Below are 20242 nucleotides of genomic sequence, written 5' to 3'. Positions count from 1 at the left end.
CTCCTTCTCAGGTTCCAGCGGCTCTCCTGGCCCACAGGGCCCTCCAGGTCAGTTTGCTGCTTCTTGTAAATAGGTTCTGTTTCCAGGGCAAAGGTGGCAATGTTAAAAGGAAAACCAAATATTTTTAAAGCCAAAGAAGCAATTATAAAGCAAGCCTCCTAGAGATATAGAATTCAAGTCTGCATGTGTGTCTCCTGTGGCAGAGGTTGGGCTCCCTGATATGTCCTGTCCAGATCCCTTCTGACCTGGCTTAGGGCTTGAGACCCTCCAGCAGCTTCAGCAATGGAAGTCCCCATCCTGCCTCCATCTGAGCAAGCACCTGCCTCTCTCTTGTCCCCTATGGCCACAGAGCTTGTCCTGCTGTCTTGAGAATCTTGAGCTGTGGCCAGTGCCTCTGCCAAGACTCGACAATGTGTTCTAATGCCTGTTCATCAGCAGAGGCAAGGAACCTGGGCCAAAATGACTTAAAAAGGACTTGGGAAGGAGTCCATGGAAAGCATCCTTTGACTTTTACTATAGGGTGTGTGCATATGTGTGCCTGTATGTGTGCATGTGTGTGCATACATGTCTCATCATTCCAAAGCTAGGGATACTCATCTGTGTGCATGGTTTCTTCTGCCGGGCAGGTCCTGTAGGTCTCCAAGGGCTCCGAGGTGAAGTAGGACTTCCTGGTGTCAAAGGTAAGCTGGAGGGAGGCCTGGGGGGACAGTGAGGGTCTGATGGACACGACCCACAGCCTATGCAGGCTGACAAGTGCAAGAGGGGAAGAAGAAGTCAGGATTGAGGGAGCCTGTCTTCAGAGACAGACATTGCCCCTTCCTGGTTGTCCCTTGTAGGGCATTTTACACCAAGGTGTCCATTTCCTTTTTAGGTGACAAAGGACCAATGGGACCACCAGGACCCAAAGGTATGCCACTCACTGCTGCTCTGTCATTACCAGGGCCTGCCTCACTCCTGGGAGCCCAGATGGGACCCTCACTGTAGGGTCTGAGGGTGCACAGGACCTGGACCAAGATCTCATTCTAATCCAACCTCTCAGATAGGGAAACTGAGGCACAAAGAAGGGAAACAAAGCACTAACATCACATTGAATTCTGGGGTGGTGAGTGTTTCTCGGGGTGGTGAAGACACAGAATTCCAAGGCATCTGACCTCTTGTGTCCATGGCACCAATTTGTGCAACAGCAGGGGCTGGGGAGTCAGTTTGTAGGGGGGGAACTGACTCTGCCAAAGATCAGATGTGCTCCTTTGGCTGCATTAATGCTGTGTCCTCACCAACATCCGCTGACAGGAGTTCACGGATACAGTGAGAACTACCCTGCAGCCGGGGACCCTGTTACTGGGTGAGAGTGTTTTCCTTGCTCACAACTGTGGCTTTTTCCACCTCCCCCTTGTTTGCTTTAGGTGACCAGGGTGAGAAAGGACCTCGAGGCCTCACAGGTCAGTCTGTCATGGGAATCTACTTTAATCTATCCACGACTTTTGTAAATCCATCAGTCACTAGGTTGGAAAAAATCCAGAAGTAAGAGACCGAATCTGTTTAAAACCCTTCAGGGAACTTGTGATCTAGAAAAAACACAAGATGAGAAAATAAAGCCTGGAGTGGAGGATAAGGAGGTATCCAGATGTATAGTCCAAACAGTAAATGTTTGGAGCAAAAAAGAAAGTGTAGGATTGTCTCTGATTCTTTTGGGGAATACAGTTGAGAAAATTAAGCTCTTCCCGAAGCAGCAGAAAGTTTGCACCCCGGTATCCTCTCAACCACTGACCTCCTGCCAACTGGCATGATTATAAAGGAAATTGACAGTGATAAAGCTGTGACTCAAGGGGTGGTTTTCAGTTTCCAAGGAAATAAGACTCATGCACATGCCCATGATTCTGATTAGGTGTGGTTTCTGGTTGAGCCCATGCCACTTCCCAGGGGTTCCAAGTGGCCCTGACCTTGGAATCAAAGCAGAAGCTGCTTCCTTGACCTCTTGGAGGAGGGAGCAGACCACCATTGTTAAAGCATACACAGCTTGCAAGTGTCCAACCAGCTAGTTCTTTGTCCTTTGCAGGCGAGCCTGGCATGAGAGGTTTGCCTGGTGCTGTTGGTGAGCCCGGGGCTAAAGGAGCAATGGGTAAGTGTTCCAAAGGAATGGATTCAGTGAGTTCCCCATCTGAGGGGTCACCACGACCCTGGAGAGATCCGTCTTCTAGAGCTGCCTCTCCTACTCTCTAATCTGCCCACTCCTGGTAGAGTCTCCCTTGACCAGTCATTTCTGTGTCTGGGCATCCTTTCTGGGGATCAGAGAGCTGCAGGTACCTCTGTGGGTTTCTTTCCACTTTGGGAGAGGCCTTGCAGGGCATGGTCCATTCACCTAAGAGCTGCCTGTGAGCTCCCCACTCCCCTGGGGAAGACAGTGTTGAAGTCCTTAGGAGCCTCAAGTGTTCCAGGAATCCCAGGGCTAGTCTCATGGCCAAATCCAGGTTTTTACCCTTTTGTTCACCTGAGGTGCCTGTCAGCCTGGCTGCAGAAACTGACCAAGAATCTCAGAGGTAGCCAGGTGCAGTGATTCACGCCTGTAATCCCTGGGACTCAGGATGATCGCTTGAACTCAGGAGTTGGAGGCTGCAGTGAGCCATGATTACACCACTGCGCTACAGTCTGGGTGACAGAGCAAGAATTCATCTCTCAAAAAAAAACCAAAAAAAAAAAAGACCATGTTGAGGATCAAACCCAAGAAGGGTTTAAGCCTTACCTGTGGAGATGCAGCATGTGTACTCTCGTTCACTTCCCCAGCTGTGAGTGCTGACACTGTGCTAGGCAAATGAGATGCTTTACCTCCCTCAAGGGGAGATAAGACTTGCATGAGGTGACAAGTGTCACGCAAGGTACAGAGTGCTGTGAGGATACAGTCAAAGGAGAGATTTCTTCCAATAGGAAGGACGGAGGAGGGGGCATTTCAAGTGGTCCCAAAAAGTTGGAAAGATTTTAAGCATGACCAGTCTGGAAAATTCCATGCAGGGATGACAGCACGAGCAGGGAAAGACAAAGAAATGGGAAAGAGCAAGATATGGTCCCAGAAGGCCACCATTTTGGAGAGAGGTTACAATAATGCCTAGAGCAGAGGAGACAAGAACATGGAGGACCTTGACTTCTAGGCCCTCAAGTAAACGCGACAAGCATTGAGCATCGAGGCGCTTGAGATGCAATGGGAAGGCACTGAACAATTCTCAACAGGAAAAGAGACAATTGCTGGTTTAGGAGAAGGGGCAGTGGGAGTACCGTATCCAGAGAGTGTGACAGACAGGGCTGTCCCGTGGCTGATGGCTGCGTGGGCTCCTGGGACACAATGTGCTTCAAGGCCACTGGGACAGTAGAGGGAGGAATCGCAGAAATCACTCCAGGAGCAACTGAGAGACCTTGCTTCTACTTTACCAGGTCCTGCTGGCCCAGACGGACACCAAGGCCCAAGAGGTTGGTCACTCATCTGCTGCCCCCAGCCTCACTCCCGTCACAGCCCCTGTTCCAGCATGCAGCCCTCAGTCCCCTTAACCATAGTGCAGAGGAGCATATAGCATGTGGAAGTGTGCAGTGTCCAGTTCTGTTCCCCTTCTCCTTTCCACCTGCCAGCAAGTCAATTAGGAAAACCCTCAGAAACTATCAGTTCAGATGTGATAACCAGTTTAGCTTTCCTAAATGTAAACACTTCCACGTTGGCCATTCTCTCTCTAGGTGAACAAGGTCTTACTGGGATGCCTGGAATCCGTGGCCCACCAGGACCTTCTGGAGACCCAGGAAAGCCAGGTAACAGAGCAGGAAGAGGGAGCCATGGCCCTGCTTAGTGTGTGTGTGCTTTGTGTGTGTGGATGTAGGCATGTGTGTGCGTGTGCATGTGCAGGTGTGCAGGTTGTGGGGGAAGGGGTGTATATGTGCATGGTTGTGTGTGTGCATGCAGGTGTTTACAAATGCACCCATGTGTGCCTTATCCCGTTTTCCTCCAGCAGCTCAGCAGGGAACTGCCATAGTGTTAGGTTGTTTTGCGTGCAGTGGCTGTAGGCCCTGGCACCTCTGGGTAACTAAGTCTGGCAATTCAGAAGAGTGGGATTAACAGCTAAACATAAGGATTTCTAGAAAGGGGCAAGGACACTCTTAAAACTGCAGACTTGAAGGTCACCTCGCTATCTTGCTCCTCTGAGCCCTTCTCCTCTTGTCCTCCTCTCCTGTACTGGGCCCTCACCAACACCCACGAGGCCGAGGAGGAAGCCATTGTTAGAGTCTCCACCGAGAGCAAAGAGCAAACTTCTCAGGGTTGCAGGAAGAACAAATGAAAACCAGCCAAGAAAGCTGTGTGGTCAAGGCGGGTGGGCATTCATCGGGGGCCTCTGAGAGTAGGGGCCTCCTCAGCCTCCTTTGGCGGGTGCCCAGACAGGAGCCATAGAGGGGGAACCTGGGGCAGCATTGGGATCCGTGAGTGTTGAGCATTCCGGATTTGTGGCTCTCCTCAGATTCCAAAAGGGTCTGTGAACCCAGATAGGCTCAGCACCATTGCCTGAGAAAGTGGTGGGTCGCTTCACTGCAAAGCCCGAAGAACTGCTCTCCATCCAGAGCTGAGAGGTCCAAGGATGCTGGCTGCCCCGGCATGAGACGTGTCCTTCTGTACCCACTGACCCCTCCACTGCAGTGTCCACCGGTTTCTGCAGGTGTGGGTGTGGCTACCAGGGATGGCCTCCACCCTTCAACTCTTCCCTCTTGTGTCTGATTTTCTGCAGGTCTCACAGGACCCCAGGGACCTCAGGGTGAGTCGCTGGATCATTCCCACCTGCTGTCTCCCACCTTCTCCTGGGGTAACTGCTTGGGCCAGGGCTTTTCCTGCAGTCACCAGAGTTTCCTCTCCTCCACCAACTCCCTGGCACACACTCCCTTTCACTATGAGTCGTGAGAAGCACCTTAGGAAGGAAAAATAGGCACAGAACAATCTAGAACACCATTCGAGTAGAAATGAGATTAGATTGTGTGTCAATTCTGTCTGCCTGTGCCCTGTTCCCCTCGGGTGCAGGAATCTGAGAGGAACCCCAAGCTCATAGCTGAGCTCCCACTAGCCAGGAGAGCTGTTAGTCCAGAGGCCCAAGTTCCCCCACTGGCATGACAGGGCATGGGCGCTCATCCTTGTTCGGGAAAGCCCAGTTTCTCTGGGACAGCCTCAGTGTTAAAGCCTGTCCTGTAATTGGACCATTGTGCCCCCATATCACTACATTCATCCCCTAATTTCCTGAAAGAAATTAGGCAAAGATTGAAAATGAAATCAGGCAGCAGCCCCCCAGCAGTTGAATTCATAGGGACATGCTTCCAATGCTCTTACAGAGGAGTTCAGTAGTTAAAGGCAAGAGGGTGATGCTGCATTGGACTCAGGAAGCCGAGCCCCTCCCCTGCAGGGGAGAAGGGAGACAGAGGCTGCTCTGCAGGCTCCAGGTGGCTCATAACCCCAAGGGATGGAACCCTCCAAAACTGAGCCCATAGGCCTCTGCCTGCTCCAAGCCAAGCTGTTGCCCCATTTCCCAAAGAGGGACAAGGGCTCAGAGCAAGAGGCTCCCCGGGGTTGTCTAGACTAAGGCGGAAGGCAAAGCTGGTGCGTCCCAGGGTTTCAGTCAGCAGTGTGGCTGTGCTGAGTGACGGAGCACTAGTGACCACCCAAGGGTATCTGGAATTGCTGGGCCTTCATCGTCCTGACTACTTGTTCTAATCACATCAGGACTTCCCGGTACCCCTGGCCGACCAGGAATAAAAGGTAAGTGAATTTCCAAATGAGATTTCTTTCTTTTCACTGGCCATTTTTGTGGAAGGAAGGGATGGACAGGAGGAGGCCTCTCTCTGGCCAGAGCCTGGATCAACAGTGGCATCTAGTGGTTCTAGCAGAGGGCTATGAGGCTGGGAGCCCAGGGATTTGTGAACCAAGCCCAGTCCTCAAGCCCCACCCCTCCCCAAACACCTCCCCACCCCACAAACCTGAGCCTTGCTTTCATACTTGGATGTCTCCAGGCCACTGTTACAGGAGGTTCTAGAAGGGCACTGCCCTCCCCAAAGCCTTTCTGTGCCCTGTTTTGCCTCTAAATGCCCCCATTAGTGCTTCATCCCCCTGGTATGTAGGCTTGGTCCCCTCCTAACAAGTCTTTTCCCCTGGGGCAGGAGCTACCTTTGCCCTTATCATTCATATCAGCCTTGGTGTGAATGGCTACATCAGACCCTTCCTGAGAGGAGGCTTTAGTACAGGCAGAGAGGAGTGTTAAGATGCTACTGAGAGGGCAAGTCGGGTACTCAGAGGGGAGCTCATCCTCGGGGGTCTGACTGGGGCAATGTGGTGATGCCCATGCACACAGTGACCCTCTTGTCCAGTTCTGCCTATCAGACCTCAACCCCGAGCAAGTTCAGGGACCCACAGTGCTCAGGGATGGTCTTTGTCCTTCTGTTCCTTTGATTCCAACACGCTCCTGAACTTTGACATTCTATGGAGCTGTGCTCTGTCATGAGCAGTCACTGTCACTCTTGGTGGGACCCTAAAATAACCACTTTCCAGAAATCATTTCCAATGACTGATTGGGCCAAGGAGTTCTTTAGGGCTAACTAAATGTAATTCCAAAATAATGATAACTGAGTTTATAGGTCCCAGGCAGACCACACTAGGTCCGTGGATATGTTCACGAATGGATGGTACCTTTTGTAAGAGTCTCATAGGTTTTGGAATTCCCAAGAATAACAGAAACCTTCCCTTTTTGAGGGCCCGTGACTTCCAGTCCAAGGGGGAGTTCAGACCCTGCCTGGACAACATGCACAAGAGGGGCCATTTTACCGAACGTTGGATTGCATCCCAACAAAACAAACTCAAGTGCTTCTCCCGTCTTGTTCATGAGCCCTGGCTGAAGGATGGTGAGCAGAGACCATCCCTCTGCTTTCCTTTAGGGGAGAGAGCAATAGTCTCCTTTCATTGTGTGAATGACTGAATTGCTAACAGAACTTGAGAAATGAAAAAAGGGGCCCCTAAAGAATGGTTTCCCCAAGTGAGTCCGTGGATTGTCAGTTCTCAGCACTGCATCCAGTTGATACGTTTGGGAATGTCCTCTTCTCGAAAGTTCTCCACGCACACTTGTATTTTCAATGCTCTGAGACACAAGGCAGAAAAGAGATCTTGTTAACCTTTATATAACTCAGACCTTCTTAGACTTACCCACTGCAGAGCCCCCCTTTAATCCTGCACAGCCCCTACAACTGTCCCACAGAGCACTCTAGGAATCCCGCTCTACCTGGCGGGCTCATCGCCTCTGTCCTTTGACCTTTGAGTAATTTTCCCACCTAAGGCGATTCCCAGGCAGAGGTGGTGGAATGTGGGAGCATGAAGGACTCTCCAGTCAGCCCCATTCTGGGCTCACTGAAAGGCAAGCTTTCCACATCCTCAAGTGAAGCCACTTCTCTGAATGAAGACGGATGCTCTGGCCTCCAGGGACTCTGGCTGAAAGATTGGGGCTTAATGCATCCTGCTTGCCTTCCTTCAGTTCATTAAAATGCCTTTAGCCTGATGGTGAGAGGCCCAGAAGTGGGTCCCAAATGCAATCAGAAGCCTTGAAAATGGCTTATTGAGCCACTAATTGATCCTCAGAACAACCACTCTCAGCCTTTTCCTCTCTTCCTAGGTGAACCAGGAGCTCCAGGCAAGATCGTGACTTCGGGTAGGCAGGTCCTAGAGGGACCCTCCTTTCTGTGTCTTTCTTATACTGGGCACCTACCTTGACTCTGCAGCGTTCTGGGCAGGATGTGGCTGGGAGTTTTTTGGATCAGTAGCGGGGGAGGAGGGAAATTTAGCAGCGATGAGAAGAAGAAATGCCAGGCTGCCCACCACAACCTGGCTTGGGTCCCAGCGCCTCTGAGTGAGAAAAGTAGGGCTCAATGTTCCATGTGCCTTCTGTTTTCAGAGGGGTCATCGATGCTCACTGTCCCAGGCCCCCCAGGACCTCCTGGAGCCATGGGACCCCCAGGACCTCCAGGTGCCCCAGGTCAGTCTATTTTCTTGCTTTGCCCCAAATCAGCAATAGGTCTTGGCGGTAGTGACTCTAGCCATATTTCTTCAGATCCTGAAACCCAGGGCAGGAACTGAACCTGGTAAAGAGAATAAGGAGTTTGGCCTGAGAAAAGCAAACTCTTGCATTCTCAGACAATGAGGTAGATCAGTTATCCTACTTCACAGCATAGGAGGTGAATGTGCTCTCAGCATTTAGAGAAGGGGAGGCTGAGGCTTGGAGTGGGTAAATGACTTGCCCAAGGTCCCACGGCCAATAAGCAGCAGGACAAAGGATTTGGCCCAGATCAGTCTACCTCCAGAGCCTGTGGCCAATCAGAAGACTCAGTCCTTGAGCCCTTTGTTTCCTCCTGGAAAACAATTTGATATTCTGCATCCAGGGCAACAAAAATGCTAGGTATCTATTTGAAGAAAATATCTCCACATGGGATGGTGACAAAAATATGAAAACTTCTGAACAAAGTTGTTAGGAGATAAAACGTTTATTGAAAGAGCAGGACACTCACTAATGCCTGCTCTGTGGTTTCAACTGTATTAATACAAGATGCAAAAAAGAAAAAATGCTGGAAGAAAATAAAATGCCCACACATTGAAGAGTTATGGACAATTTGTTTCCTACCTTTCCAAAGTGCCTGTTATTTTGTTATATGTGTTTTTAATTATTTTAAATTTTTATGTACAAATGAAGTACACAACTTACCACAACCAAGGCCAGAATGTACCAGCCTTCCCTCCTGACAAGCTCCAGTGAGAAGGAGTACATAGAGGCATGTAGAAGTCCCTAACCATTACAGGACAGCAGCAGAGGGGGCAGTCCCGCCTGCCCCGGGGTCCCGGTGCCTGTCAGAGATGTTCTCACGCAACTGGACCGCAGGGCTGATCTCGAATTGCTTATTGCTCTCAAATAAGCAAGGTGGCCTCTTTGGGTCTCTGTTCCATGCCTTGGGAGGAATTATGCCTTTAGTTCTTCCTATGACCCTACATGCATGATTTAGCCTTTTCTTCCTCAACCCCGTTTCCAGGCCCTGCCGGCCCAGCTGGTCTCCCAGGACATCAAGGTATGTCACACCCTGCAAGAATGCAAAGCGATGGGCCCAGTCGGGAGGACTTTCCTCTCAGGGTGGACATGGGCCTCTCTGTTCTAGATGACGTGAAAGGTGTGTTTTGGAAAAGGAGGACAGGGCCAGGGCTCTTCACCGGGGTCTTGCAAGGTGATTCCCTGGGGCTTGGGGCAGCTGTCAGAGAAGTTCTGGGATTACAAGAGGACCAGGGGCAGACTTGGCCTTGAAGATGAGTATCTGGCAGGAGTGTACAGCTGACCCAGAGAGCAATGACAACCGTCTGTGGGTTCTCGGCTGCAGGCCCAGGCTGAGAGGACTCACTCCCGGGTCCTTTAAGGAGCCCAGGTGGAGACTGCCGGGCCTCCCACCTGGACATCTGGAGTGCAGAACAGCAGAGGCTTCAGCCCACCCGGTCCAGCGCTCACTCTGAGCTATCACTGTGTTAGGAGCTTGGTCTTCAGTGTTTCACCGAGTCTTCCCAACACCCCCGTGATGTAGATCTTTTTGACCTTGGTTTACAGAGGAGGAAACTGAGGCTGAAAGAGGTTGAGAACTTGCCCAAAGTCACCAGCTAGACGTGTGGGAGCAGGGGTTTGAACTCAGACTTTCTGACACCGAAATCCAATGTATCCCCATCATTCCACATGCTCTTATCAGCTGTCAGGGAGCTTGACTATGGTCCTGCCCTGCCTCTGAGTGAGGGGCACCCTTAGCAGATGAGGTGCTGCAGGCTCTTGTGCCATGACACAGGGCCTGGTGTCTGGGCTGTGAGGGTAGCCTGGAGTGCCTGGAACTGCAGATCCAGTGAGAGGTGAGAAGTGTGGCAGAGAGCAGCCTCGTGACAGCTTTTGCTCATTTCTATTTTCTTCTCTCTATAGAAGTTCTTAATTTACAAGGTCCCCCAGGCCCACCCGGCCCACGCGGGCCACCAGGTGAGTATCTTGGAGACCTTTGGAAGGTGGGGAGTTTGGGGGACAGGAGATTCAATGCACTTAGTGAGGAAGCCAAGATCCTCAGGGGTGGCATCAGCTCCCTGAGCTCAGCATGGCCTCTTCCTTGCTCTCTTCTGCAGGGCCTTCCATTCCAGGCCCACCAGGACCCCGAGGCCCACCAGGTGAGAGCCGAGCTTACCACTGGGAGGTGGGAGGGGGAGGTGAGAGGTGGGTAGCAATGGGACCCTGAGCCCAGGGCCCTCTGGGCTGGCTTATAGGAAAGAGCTTCCCTGCTGCCTCCTCCTGAGCAGAGGGTTCCTGGCTCCCCTCTTGGCACTAATAAGTCTTGGGGGTTCTCTTTCCTAGGGGAGGGTTTGCCAGGCCCACCAGGCCCACCAGGATCGTTCCTGTCCAACTCAGGTAATGTCAGGGAGTCAAGTCGCACCTGTTCTCCACCTCAGCCCTTGTCCTGCCACAGACTGTGGCCGTAGCCTTGTGGTCACAACCTACTCACCAGGCTTCCTGCTCCTGACTTCCATGGGGATATGTTTATATAATCTTCCTGCTTGCTGCACATGGAGGGAATAACCATGTCAACCCAACCACCCTGGTAGTCTGGCCTGAGGGAGGGAGCCAGCTCTGCCCTTGGGGAGCTTCTGGCCTAACCAGGGAGACCTGGTTCCTATCCTTGGGGAGCCCAGGTCTGATAAAGTAGGCAGGATACATGCGCGTGAAGTAAGTGCCGACCGTACAACATAGAAACTTGTGGAAATAACTTTAAAGCAAACATTAGGCCAGAACCTGTTCCTAGTGGAAAATCCATCCACCCATCCATTTATCCATCCATCTACCCATCCACCTATCCATCCATCCATCCATCCACCTATCCATCCATCCATCCATCCATCCATCCACCCACCCGCCCATTCATCCACCCACCCATTCATCCATCCATCCACCCATCCAACTATTTGACAAGTATTGATTGAGCATCTATGTTGTCAGGTGCTGTGCAAAGTGCTGCTTCTTCACAAACATCAGTGTCCATACTCAAACTATTTCCTTCCTCTGCAGAAACCTTCCTCTCCGGCCCCCCAGGCCCACCTGGCCCCCCAGGTCCCAAGGGAGACCAAGGTGAGAACAGTGTATCAGGGAACCCAGAAGCCAGTATGTGTCCTCTGTTTACCTGCTGGTTGCCAGGAGGGTTTGGATGAAGCTGAATGAGCTGGGGCATTTTTGCATCCTTCTGCCTTATCCCATTAGGAACTCAGCAGCCTGGAGCAAAGGTAGAGGGGGAGGCACAATAGTCAGAAACTCTACAAAGGATAGCCACCCAACATTGGCCTAGTGAGAGGAGAGGCACAAGGAACCCCAAGTTCTATATCTGCTCTAGCATTGGAGCCCCTATCCCCTCCTCCATGGGCCCATTGAAACCACAACACCTGGTTGGTACCTGTCTCATAGCTCTCTGCCTTTTTCCCTCAGGTCCCCCAGGCCCCAGAGGACACCAAGGTACAGTAGAGCCGGCATCAAACAAAACCTGGGGTAGGGGTGGGGATGGCAAAAGCTCACCTCCCAAGAGCTTTGAGCTTGATAGAAAGGCACCTGGTGCAAATAAGCAAGAGTAGAGCAGTGTTTCTCTAGGAATGGTTGAGTGTGTGCATGGGTGTAGTGCAAGTGTGCGTGTGCGTGTGTGTGTGTGTGTGTGTGTGTGTGTGGCATCTCTAGGTACTGCCCAAAGGGCAACGCAGCCCCAGCAATCATGGATCTTGGGGAGGCTCTACAGGGCTGTTAGTGGGTGAGAAAAGTGAGGCTGACTGTCCCTCCCTTGGTGTGTTCCTCAGGCGAGCAAGGCCTCCCAGGTTTCTCAACCTCAGGTAAGGGCTGAACCCCGCCCCATTCTGGCTCTGGCCAGAGCCTCTCCAAACCCTGGCTGACTGCACTGTGTGTGTTGTTGGCTTCCAGGGTCCAGTTCTTTCGGACTCAACCTTCAGGGACCACCAGGCCCACCTGGCCCCCAGGGACCCAAAGGTGACAAAGGTCAGTGAGGGAGCAGTGAGAAGGTGGTGAGGAGTAGGGGTGAGCCTGGTGCCCAGAGCCCAGAGCCTGAAGAGATGGCAGCAAGTACTCATCAGTGTAAAGTCTTGGGAGAGAGAAGAGGCTGGAGGAAGGAAAGGCCAGAGGGTGGAAGGGACAAGGACATGGTGATATAGCCTCTGTACAAGGGAGCTGTGGTATTATTACAAAAAGGAGGCCAAGAGACATGGGACGATTGTTGAGACACACACTAATAAGTGTGGTTTGGCTTAACCAGGGAAGGCTTCCTGGAGGAGGTGAGGCAAACTTCTCATTTTGGATTCCAGGTGATCCAGGTGTTCCAGGGGCTCTTGGCATTCCTAGTGGTCCTTCTGAAGGTAAGAACTGAAAGTGACCAAAGTTCCTCTCCACTTCTTCTGGTGAAGGCTGATCATTCCAGTGAGGATGTTGCTCTATTCGTTCATTCATTTCTCCATGATTCGTTGTTGATTGGCTGTCTTCTCCATGTGCTAGGACCTATGAGCTGCCTTTAAGGAGGTTACGAGTTATTGGGTTGAGGGGAAGGACCCAGGTACATATAATGATACCTAACAATGCAGACACCGCATGATGGAGAACAGACAGACCCAGGGTGCTGGGGAGTTGAGAGAAGGGGGATGCGATGTTGGGGGTCCTTCAGCAGGTTGCAGAAGGAAAGGGCGGTTTGGCCTGGGGCAGCTTCCTAGCTCTGTGCCACTTTCAGACAGTGGCTGTTACAGGCTGTCCTTTCTTCTCTTCTCGGGGACCCTTCTCCTTGCCACTATCCTATTTCTCCTCCTGAGAAGACCCTCCCTCCTCAGACCATGGAAGCTATTCCTGGGCCCGTTTGTCTGACCCTAGGGTGGAGAAACCGACACAGGACGCTTTCTCTTTGCTGCAGGGGGATCATCAAGTACCATGTACGTGTCAGGCCCGCCAGGGCCCCCTGGGCCCCCTGGGCCTCCGGGCTCTATCAGCAGCTCTGGCCAGGAGATTCAGCAGTACATCTCTGAGTACATGCAGAGTGAGTAGCTGGCCGCCGCAAGCCGTGGGGACAAGAACATGGAGATACAGTCTCTTTGCAAGGGAGCTGTGGTATCATCACAGAAATGAGGCTAAGAGACATGGGACGATGTAGGGCAGTGGGAGTGTGTGTGTGTGTGTGTGTGTGTGTGTGTGTGTGTGTGTGTGTGTGTGTATGTGTGTCTATGTGTCCAGGCCCAGGTCTTCCCCCTGCAGAGCCAGGCCTACAGGCCTATGAGCTCCCCAACACCAGCCTTCTCATAGCTGCCCCCGACACAGCCTCACCTCGCCCACACCCTGGGGAGGAGGCTGGCGCACGTGCTCATCCCCTACACGCACATGCTTTCACACCACACCTTGCATGTGCTCATTTGTCAAATGGGTGGCTGGCTGGAGTCTTGCTGGCCCACAGCCCTCATGGGCCACTTGACCCAGCTCAGGCCTCTGCCTCAGTTTCTCCATCTGTAATTTAGGGGAAGGACAGTGAGGGGAAGTCTAGGCTCCCTCCTGGCCCAGCCTTGGGCCCATGTGTGGGGCGGGGCAGGCATGTTATCATGTGCTTCAGGTCACCTCCGTGGGGAGAACATGTCCTCTTGGGACAGGCTTGACTTTGCTTTGTTCCTTGGTCGGCAGGTGACAGTATTAGATCTTACCTATCCGGAGTTCAGGGTCCCCCAGGCCCACCTGGTCCCCCAGGACCTGTCACCACCATCACAGGCGAGACTTTCGACTACTCAGAGCTGGCAAGCCACGTTGTGAGCTACTTACGGAGTAAGCCCTTCCCCACGCCCTGCACCTGGCACCTTCCTCCTGTGGGTCTGCTTTTGCTCCCAGAGCCTCATCTCCTCGTTTGCTGTTTGCTTTGCCCTTCTCTGGAACATGAGTTTTAATTCCGAATTCATAATAATCGGGCCACTGGGATACAGTGTCAACAAGGGTCTGTCCAGATTCAGGGCGGCCACGCTGGAGAGACACCGAGTGAGCCTTCCGGCAATTGACTAATGTGTTCCTAATTATAGGTTCTTCCCACCTGTGCATGAAGGTTGGCAGCATCTGGCAGGCATTAGGCTAAAGCATGTTCTCAAAAATAAACTTCCTTTCTTACAAAAAAAAAAAAAATCCCAACAACAGTATTTGACTTTGTTATGCTTTCAAAATAGCCTCGTAATACTCCATTCATCCACTTCCCCCAAAGACAAACAGCTCGGTGACCGGGCCTTTCAGATTCTGGAATAGTGAGGGTGTTGCTTCAGTACCTGCTAAGCAGGTAACCTGAGGTTTTCTTCCCGACAGCTTCGGGGTACGGTGTCAGCTTGTTCTCGTCCTCCATCTCTTCTGAAGACATTCTGGCTGTGCTGCAGCGTGAGTCACCTGTGGGGGGATCGAGGGTGGGACTATCTTTGCTTTCTCCTGGCCTCACTCGTCATGCAAACCTTGTCCTCGTCTGAGCCTTGGAAGGGCTGCAAGAGGGAGGCAGAGTCCTTTGGACAAAGAGCCACTTACTGCTCTGATCTGCTTGCTGAGTCAGCAAACCGGCTGGAAAGGGGGCAGGAAATGTCCTCCCAAGCCCCCATGCCAGACAAGCTGGCAGGTGTCCCTTTGGGAACCTGGCAGCTTGCTGGTGTCCCCCCTGAACACCGTGGTCCTGCGGACCCAGAACTCACAAATGTCACGCAGGAGCCAGTTTGTGCAGGGGAGCCCAGGCTGTGGCTGGATCATGGCTGCGACCCCCATGGCCTGGGTGGGTCCTGCTAGTGCATCCTCTCCTCTCCAGGGGATGACGTGCGTCAGTACCTACGTCAGTACTTGATGGGCCCTCGGGGTCCGCCAGGGCCACCAGGAGCCAGTGGAGATGGGTCCCTCCTGTCTTTGGACTATGCAGAGCTGAGTAGTCGCATTCTCAGCTACATGTCGAGTAAGTGTCTGCAGGAGGGGTGGTTGGGAAGGGCCTGGGATGACTGGGATGAGGACTCGCAGCGTGAACTTCCCTGTGATTGCCCCACTGACCCCCACCTGCCAGACTGCACCAACCCCAGCAATGAGCAGTGCTCAGAGCCGTTCAAACCTGTGAGCCTGGAGCAGGTCAAGAAGCATGGCAAGGAAAGCCAAAACGGGGGTCTCAGGCACTGTCTCGTGTGGAGTCTACATACAACTCTCTCTCTCTCACACACACTCCCATACACACACACCCATACTCACACTCCCATACACACACACACTCACTTCCATACACACACACCCATACTCACACTCCCATACACCCATACACACACATATACACACACTCCCATACACACACACTCCCATACACACACACTCCCATACACACTCCCATACACATACTCCCATACACACACTCCTATACACACACTTCCATACTCAGACACACCCATACACACTCACATATGCATACACACACGCATTCCCATAAACACACTCCCATACTCCTGTACTCACACTCCCATACACTCCCATACACACACACTCATACACACTCCCATACACACGCTCCCATACACTCCAGTACTCACGCACACTCCCATACACTCCCATACGCACACTCCGATACACTCCCATACACACACACACTCACTCCCATACACACATACTCATACACACACACACACAGAATGAAGCACACAGGCACACTGGACCTGCTTCTCCGGCCCCGTGGGCCCCTCCGTTCCTCCTTTGGGCTCCTCCTCTCTGCCTCTCTTCCTGCCACCATCTCTTTTCTTTCTTGGACCCCACTTCTGTCCAAACCTCTTCTGTATCCGACCTCCTCTCTGACAGGTGTTTCCATCTGCCTCCCCCTGCCTGATCTGAATCCATCACCTCCCTAGGTTCTGGGATCAGCATTGGGCTTCCTGGTCCCCCGGGGCCCCCTGGCTTGCCGGGAACCTCCTATGAGGAGCTCCTCTCCTTGCTGCGAGGTAAGGCCCAGCAGGGGACATCTGTCCAACTGGTTGGGGAGGAAGCAGAGTCCCTTGGCCCAGGCCAGGACTGACTCCGTGCCCTCCCTTGGTGTCTCAGGGTCTGAATTCAGAGGCATCGTTGGACCCCCAGGTCCCCCGGGTCCACCAGGGATCCCAGGCAATGTGTGGTCCAGCATCAGCGTGGAGGACCTCTCGTCTTACTTACATAGTAGGGCACTGTGGAGTGGGATGGGGAGGGCAGGGGATGCAGCCGGGCCTTGGGGGCTCCCATGGGCTTTAGCAAGGGCAGTCTAAGTGCTCCTGGAGCCTGTACAGTGCTGGGTGCAGGGCCCTGGAGAGCGCCACATGTGCTGGCAAGGGGCCTTCAGCCGTGGCAGGGACAGAGGTGGGGAGAGATGGCTTTCCCAGGCGCAGCCCGGTGTGTGATTAGGGCCGACCTGGGGCTCCACCTCTCAGTGACTGGAGGGCTGAGTTGAATGAGGCTCAGAATTGGGAGTGGGAGAGCCTGACGGGAACAGCCATTCCTGGATGATGTCAGGAAACAGCAGGCTCTGGCCTCCTGCTTTTCTCTCCTCCCATCACCCGGGAGGCCCAGCCTCATCCCCTCCTTTCAGGTGGGGCCCACAGCGCCCCGAGCACAGGCTGGGAATTCAGCTTCCTCCGCAGCACTACCCCGACCTTTCTTTCTCTTCCTTCTGCCCAGCTGCCGGCTTGTCATTCATCCCAGGCCCTCCAGGACCTCCTGGTCCCCCAGGGCCTCGAGGGCCCCCGGGTGTCTCAGGAGCCCTGGCAACCTATGCAGCTGAAAACAGCGACAGCTTCCGGAGCGAGCTGATCAGCTACCTCACAAGTAGGTGCCCCGACGGTGATGCCCCACCAGGCACCCCGCAGGCCTTGCTTTTCCCTGTAAGTGGGGCAGGGAGGCACTTAAAGGGACAGGAAGGCCACACGAGAGCCACTGGTGGGGTAAGCCCGGTTTCCTTCCACACCAAAATTCTCCCACTCGGGTACAAGAACCCTGAAGTTCACTTCTGGTCTCTCAGGGGCATTGACACCCTGGGAGAGACTCCCTAACTCCCAAGTCTTTCTCTCCACCGAGATCTGAGCTCCCACTCATGCAGCTTCTCACCCTGCAGGTCCTGATGTGCGCAGCTTCATTGTTGGCCCCCCAGGCCCTCCTGGGCCGCAGGGACCCCCTGGGGACAGCCGCCTCCTGTCCACGGATGCCTCCCACAGTCGGGGTAGCAGCTCCTCCTCACACAGCTCATCTGTCAGGCGGGGCAGCTCCTACAGCTCTTCCATGAGCACAGGAGGAGGTGGTGCAGGCTCCCTGGGTGCAGGCGGTGCCTTTGGTGAAGCTGCAGGAGACAGGGGTCCCTATGGCACTGACATCGGCCCAGGCGGAGGCTATGGGGCAGCAGCAGAAGGCGGCATGTATGCTGGCAATGGCGGACTATTGGGAGCTGACTTTGCTGGAGATCTGGATTACAATGAGCTGGCTGTGAGGGTGTCAGAGAGCATGCAGCGTAAGTGGGGACATTTAGGCCTTGGTGCTGGGGGGAAGGAGCGTGGGAGCATCTCCAGACTGGCTTTCTTGTTTGTGGAACCCCCAGGCTGTGAAGACAGAATCAAGCAGGCAGGGGCTGGAGGGGACAGGCAGCCCCAGCCTAGCTCTCAGCCTACTCAGCTTAAGGAGCCCCAGTCCTGGGACCCGAGCTGTGGGGAACAGAGCACGCTGGGGGCTTTGTACTTTGTTTTCCCAACACCTAGCTCGTTCTGGGTCCCAGATGAGTCATATGACCATGCTGGATTTTCTGCTGGGGCCGAGAGAAGGATGTTGGCTAAGAGTCCTTTCCCCGCGCAGCTTAACGGCACAGTTACGCAGTCAACAAGCTTTTGATGCCGGCCCACAGCAGGAAGAGACCTGTGCCAGTCACACAGTGGAATACAAAGGAAGTTGGAGGGCTTCACCCTTGCTGCGGCTTGATCTAGTTCAACTGCTTTGGGAGTTTGACACTCGGAGGGCACTGTGCTCCTGCTGAAGAGGGTACTGGGAGATCCCTGCTTCCTGTGCCCAAGCTCTGGTGTTTTACAGGTCAGGGCCTACTGCAAGGGATGGCCTACACTGTCCAGGGCCCACCAGGCCAGCCTGGGCCACAGGGGCCACCCGGCATCAGCAAGGTCTTCTCTGCCTACAGCAACGTGACTGCGGACCTCATGGACTTCTTCCAAAGTAAGGGCATCCAACTGCTTTCCCAGCACCTGCCTCACTGCATAGGTTCCCACGGGTCTGCTCCAGAGACACCAGTCTCATGAGAAATCTCCAGTTATTAACATTTGAGATGCTCAAAATTAGACAAATTCTATAAATTCTGAACTTTGTTTCCTCTTACACGTCCAAACTCCATCACTATCTCTCTGTGTTACTCTGAACAAATGACTTGATGTCCCAAGCTTCCAGGTGATCAAGACTCTAAGGCCAGTGTTTCCTTGCTTTTGCAGCTTATGGAGCCATTCAAGGACCCCCTGGGCAAAAAGGAGAGATGGGCACTCCAGGACCCAAAGGTAAGTGGTGGCAGAGAGCCAGTCCCTGGATCCTGTGTTAACACCCACCTCGTACTGAAAAGCAGCTCCTGTGCTGGTGCCACACCGGCTACCTGTGCCCTCAGTCCCCAGACTCATGTATTACTTAGTTACGCCCCATTTTTCCTTCCAGGTGACAGGGGCCCTGCTGGGCCACCAGGTCATCCTGGGCCACCTGGCCCTCGAGGACACAAGGGAGAAAAAGGAGACAAAGGTAAGTGTTGACTGCTCCACGTTTTGCATGTTCTGGAGGGCTGCAAGGCTGACGCTCATTAGAGAAGCAGGTGATTTGTTCCAGAGCAAGCCTGAGAAATTCAGGCAAATGCCAATTACTCCAGGCAGACACTGCCAAAAGCAGAATTTGCATAACAATCCCATTCACAGTGAGGAAGAAAAGGAGAGTGTCAAAGCAGGGAGGAAAAGGAGAACCAAGCTGGTGTTGAAATGGGGCAAACAAGTTAAATAAATGTAGTCTTACAAAAGATTTCACCTTTGAAGCCATCTTTGCAGTAGTCACGGTTGCCATAATTGCCCAAGCCAAGATCCCCACAGGCCACAAGATATGTTTTAACTTCCTACTGATCTTCTAACTTTCAGGTGACCAAGTCTATGCTGGGCGGAGAAGGAGAAGAAGTATTGCTGTCAAGCCGTGAGCTAGCCATGGCAGGACAGCTCCTGGACCAGGTCTCATAATGCATGTGGCACTTAGGTCCAAGGTCTCCAGAGGGTGAAAGCTGGAGTCTGTCAATGTCCTACTGAGACAGCACAGCCAACCTAGCTAGCAACATTTGTTTTAGTCTGAACAATATATACTTATAGAATTCAGTCAAAGATACACAATCTGAAACAGCTTCATGGGGTGGACTCTAACAGTAGTTGCAATGTTTTAGAATGAGACTTACTTCTCTGCTATCTAGATCTGAACTCCTTGGCTTCTTTACTTAGTTCAAGCCCCAGCCTAGGAAAGCCAGTTACATAAAAGTTGGCTCAGGAGTCTTAGAGCTTTACCTAAATATGAGCCCAGAAAACGGAGGATGGGGGTGGGGCGCCTTCCTGGAGGTGACACTTGATGGGGGTGTGTTCTGGTTACTGTTCTAAGGCTGTGCCATCAGCTCCTTCCTCCCCTGTTCATTCTGCATTCTCTAGTCAGTTGGCTAAGAAGTGACTCTTGCAACTAAAAAAATTAAGAAATTCACTTCCCCTCTAGGAGGTGATGATAGGGTTTCTAATGGTTATATGTATATCACATTCCCATTTGCTTAGAAAGTCTGATTGTAGCTATGATTGTCCGTAGGCCCATACTAGAGTTCATGGATATGTTATACTGAACCAGGCCAGAGCAAACAGAAAAAGAAGGTTGAGGGCAATGGACAAGGAAGGAATAAAGGGAGAAGAGGGAAAACAGAAAACCTGATGCTGGGGACACAGCATCAGCTCAAGACGTCACCCTCCATTCTGCACTCAGAAAATGGCACTTGGGGGACTGGGCGCAGTTGGTCTTTAACCACTTTTCAATGTCTAAAAACATTTGTTTGTGGTCTATAAGATGAAACATCATTTCAATCGTAAAATTTCCCATTAAAGAAGTTTTTTTTTCTAATA

At 52.6% G+C, this 20242-nt stretch overlaps 1 protein-coding gene and 1 non-coding gene across 2 annotated transcripts in view; both read left to right on the top strand.

Annotated features, from left to right (window-relative positions):
- Nucleotides 1-20242, top strand: part of COL17A1 (collagen type XVII alpha 1 chain) — a 54595-nt gene extending 34353 nt beyond the window's left edge. The window contains exons 25-56 of the mRNA NM_000494.4: nucleotides 12-47; nucleotides 627-680; nucleotides 872-907; nucleotides 1404-1439; nucleotides 2057-2119; nucleotides 3424-3459; nucleotides 3718-3789; nucleotides 4755-4781; nucleotides 5735-5770; nucleotides 7668-7703; nucleotides 7947-8027; nucleotides 9073-9108; nucleotides 9990-10043; nucleotides 10184-10225; nucleotides 10410-10463; nucleotides 11118-11177; nucleotides 11529-11555; nucleotides 11888-11920; nucleotides 12009-12083; nucleotides 12407-12457; nucleotides 13000-13122; nucleotides 13755-13892; nucleotides 14415-14483; nucleotides 14896-15036; nucleotides 15965-16054; nucleotides 16155-16265; nucleotides 16761-16907; nucleotides 17194-17583; nucleotides 18153-18290; nucleotides 18560-18622; nucleotides 18774-18854; nucleotides 19238-20242. Coding sequence (NP_000485.3) covers nucleotides 12-47; nucleotides 627-680; nucleotides 872-907; nucleotides 1404-1439; nucleotides 2057-2119; nucleotides 3424-3459; nucleotides 3718-3789; nucleotides 4755-4781; nucleotides 5735-5770; nucleotides 7668-7703; nucleotides 7947-8027; nucleotides 9073-9108; nucleotides 9990-10043; nucleotides 10184-10225; nucleotides 10410-10463; nucleotides 11118-11177; nucleotides 11529-11555; nucleotides 11888-11920; nucleotides 12009-12083; nucleotides 12407-12457; nucleotides 13000-13122; nucleotides 13755-13892; nucleotides 14415-14483; nucleotides 14896-15036; nucleotides 15965-16054; nucleotides 16155-16265; nucleotides 16761-16907; nucleotides 17194-17583; nucleotides 18153-18290; nucleotides 18560-18622; nucleotides 18774-18854; nucleotides 19238-19293 — 2492 coding nt within the window. The 3' untranslated portion in view covers nucleotides 19294-20242. The remainder of the gene's footprint in view (nucleotides 1-11; nucleotides 48-626; nucleotides 681-871; nucleotides 908-1403; nucleotides 1440-2056; nucleotides 2120-3423; nucleotides 3460-3717; nucleotides 3790-4754; nucleotides 4782-5734; nucleotides 5771-7667; nucleotides 7704-7946; nucleotides 8028-9072; nucleotides 9109-9989; nucleotides 10044-10183; nucleotides 10226-10409; nucleotides 10464-11117; nucleotides 11178-11528; nucleotides 11556-11887; nucleotides 11921-12008; nucleotides 12084-12406; nucleotides 12458-12999; nucleotides 13123-13754; nucleotides 13893-14414; nucleotides 14484-14895; nucleotides 15037-15964; nucleotides 16055-16154; nucleotides 16266-16760; nucleotides 16908-17193; nucleotides 17584-18152; nucleotides 18291-18559; nucleotides 18623-18773; nucleotides 18855-19237) is intronic.
- On the top strand, nucleotides 3342-3439 carry MIR936 (microRNA 936). The gene has a single exon (NR_030760.1). It is a non-coding gene; the product is annotated as a microRNA 936 (primary transcript).

Source organism: Homo sapiens, chromosome 10, assembly GCF_000001405.40.
Source record: "Homo sapiens chromosome 10, GRCh38.p14 Primary Assembly".
In the NCBI taxonomy this organism is placed as follows: domain Eukaryota; kingdom Metazoa; phylum Chordata; class Mammalia; order Primates; family Hominidae; genus Homo; species Homo sapiens.
The sequence above is the reverse complement of the archived record's forward strand: the minus strand, read 5'-3'. Positions and strand labels throughout refer to the sequence as shown.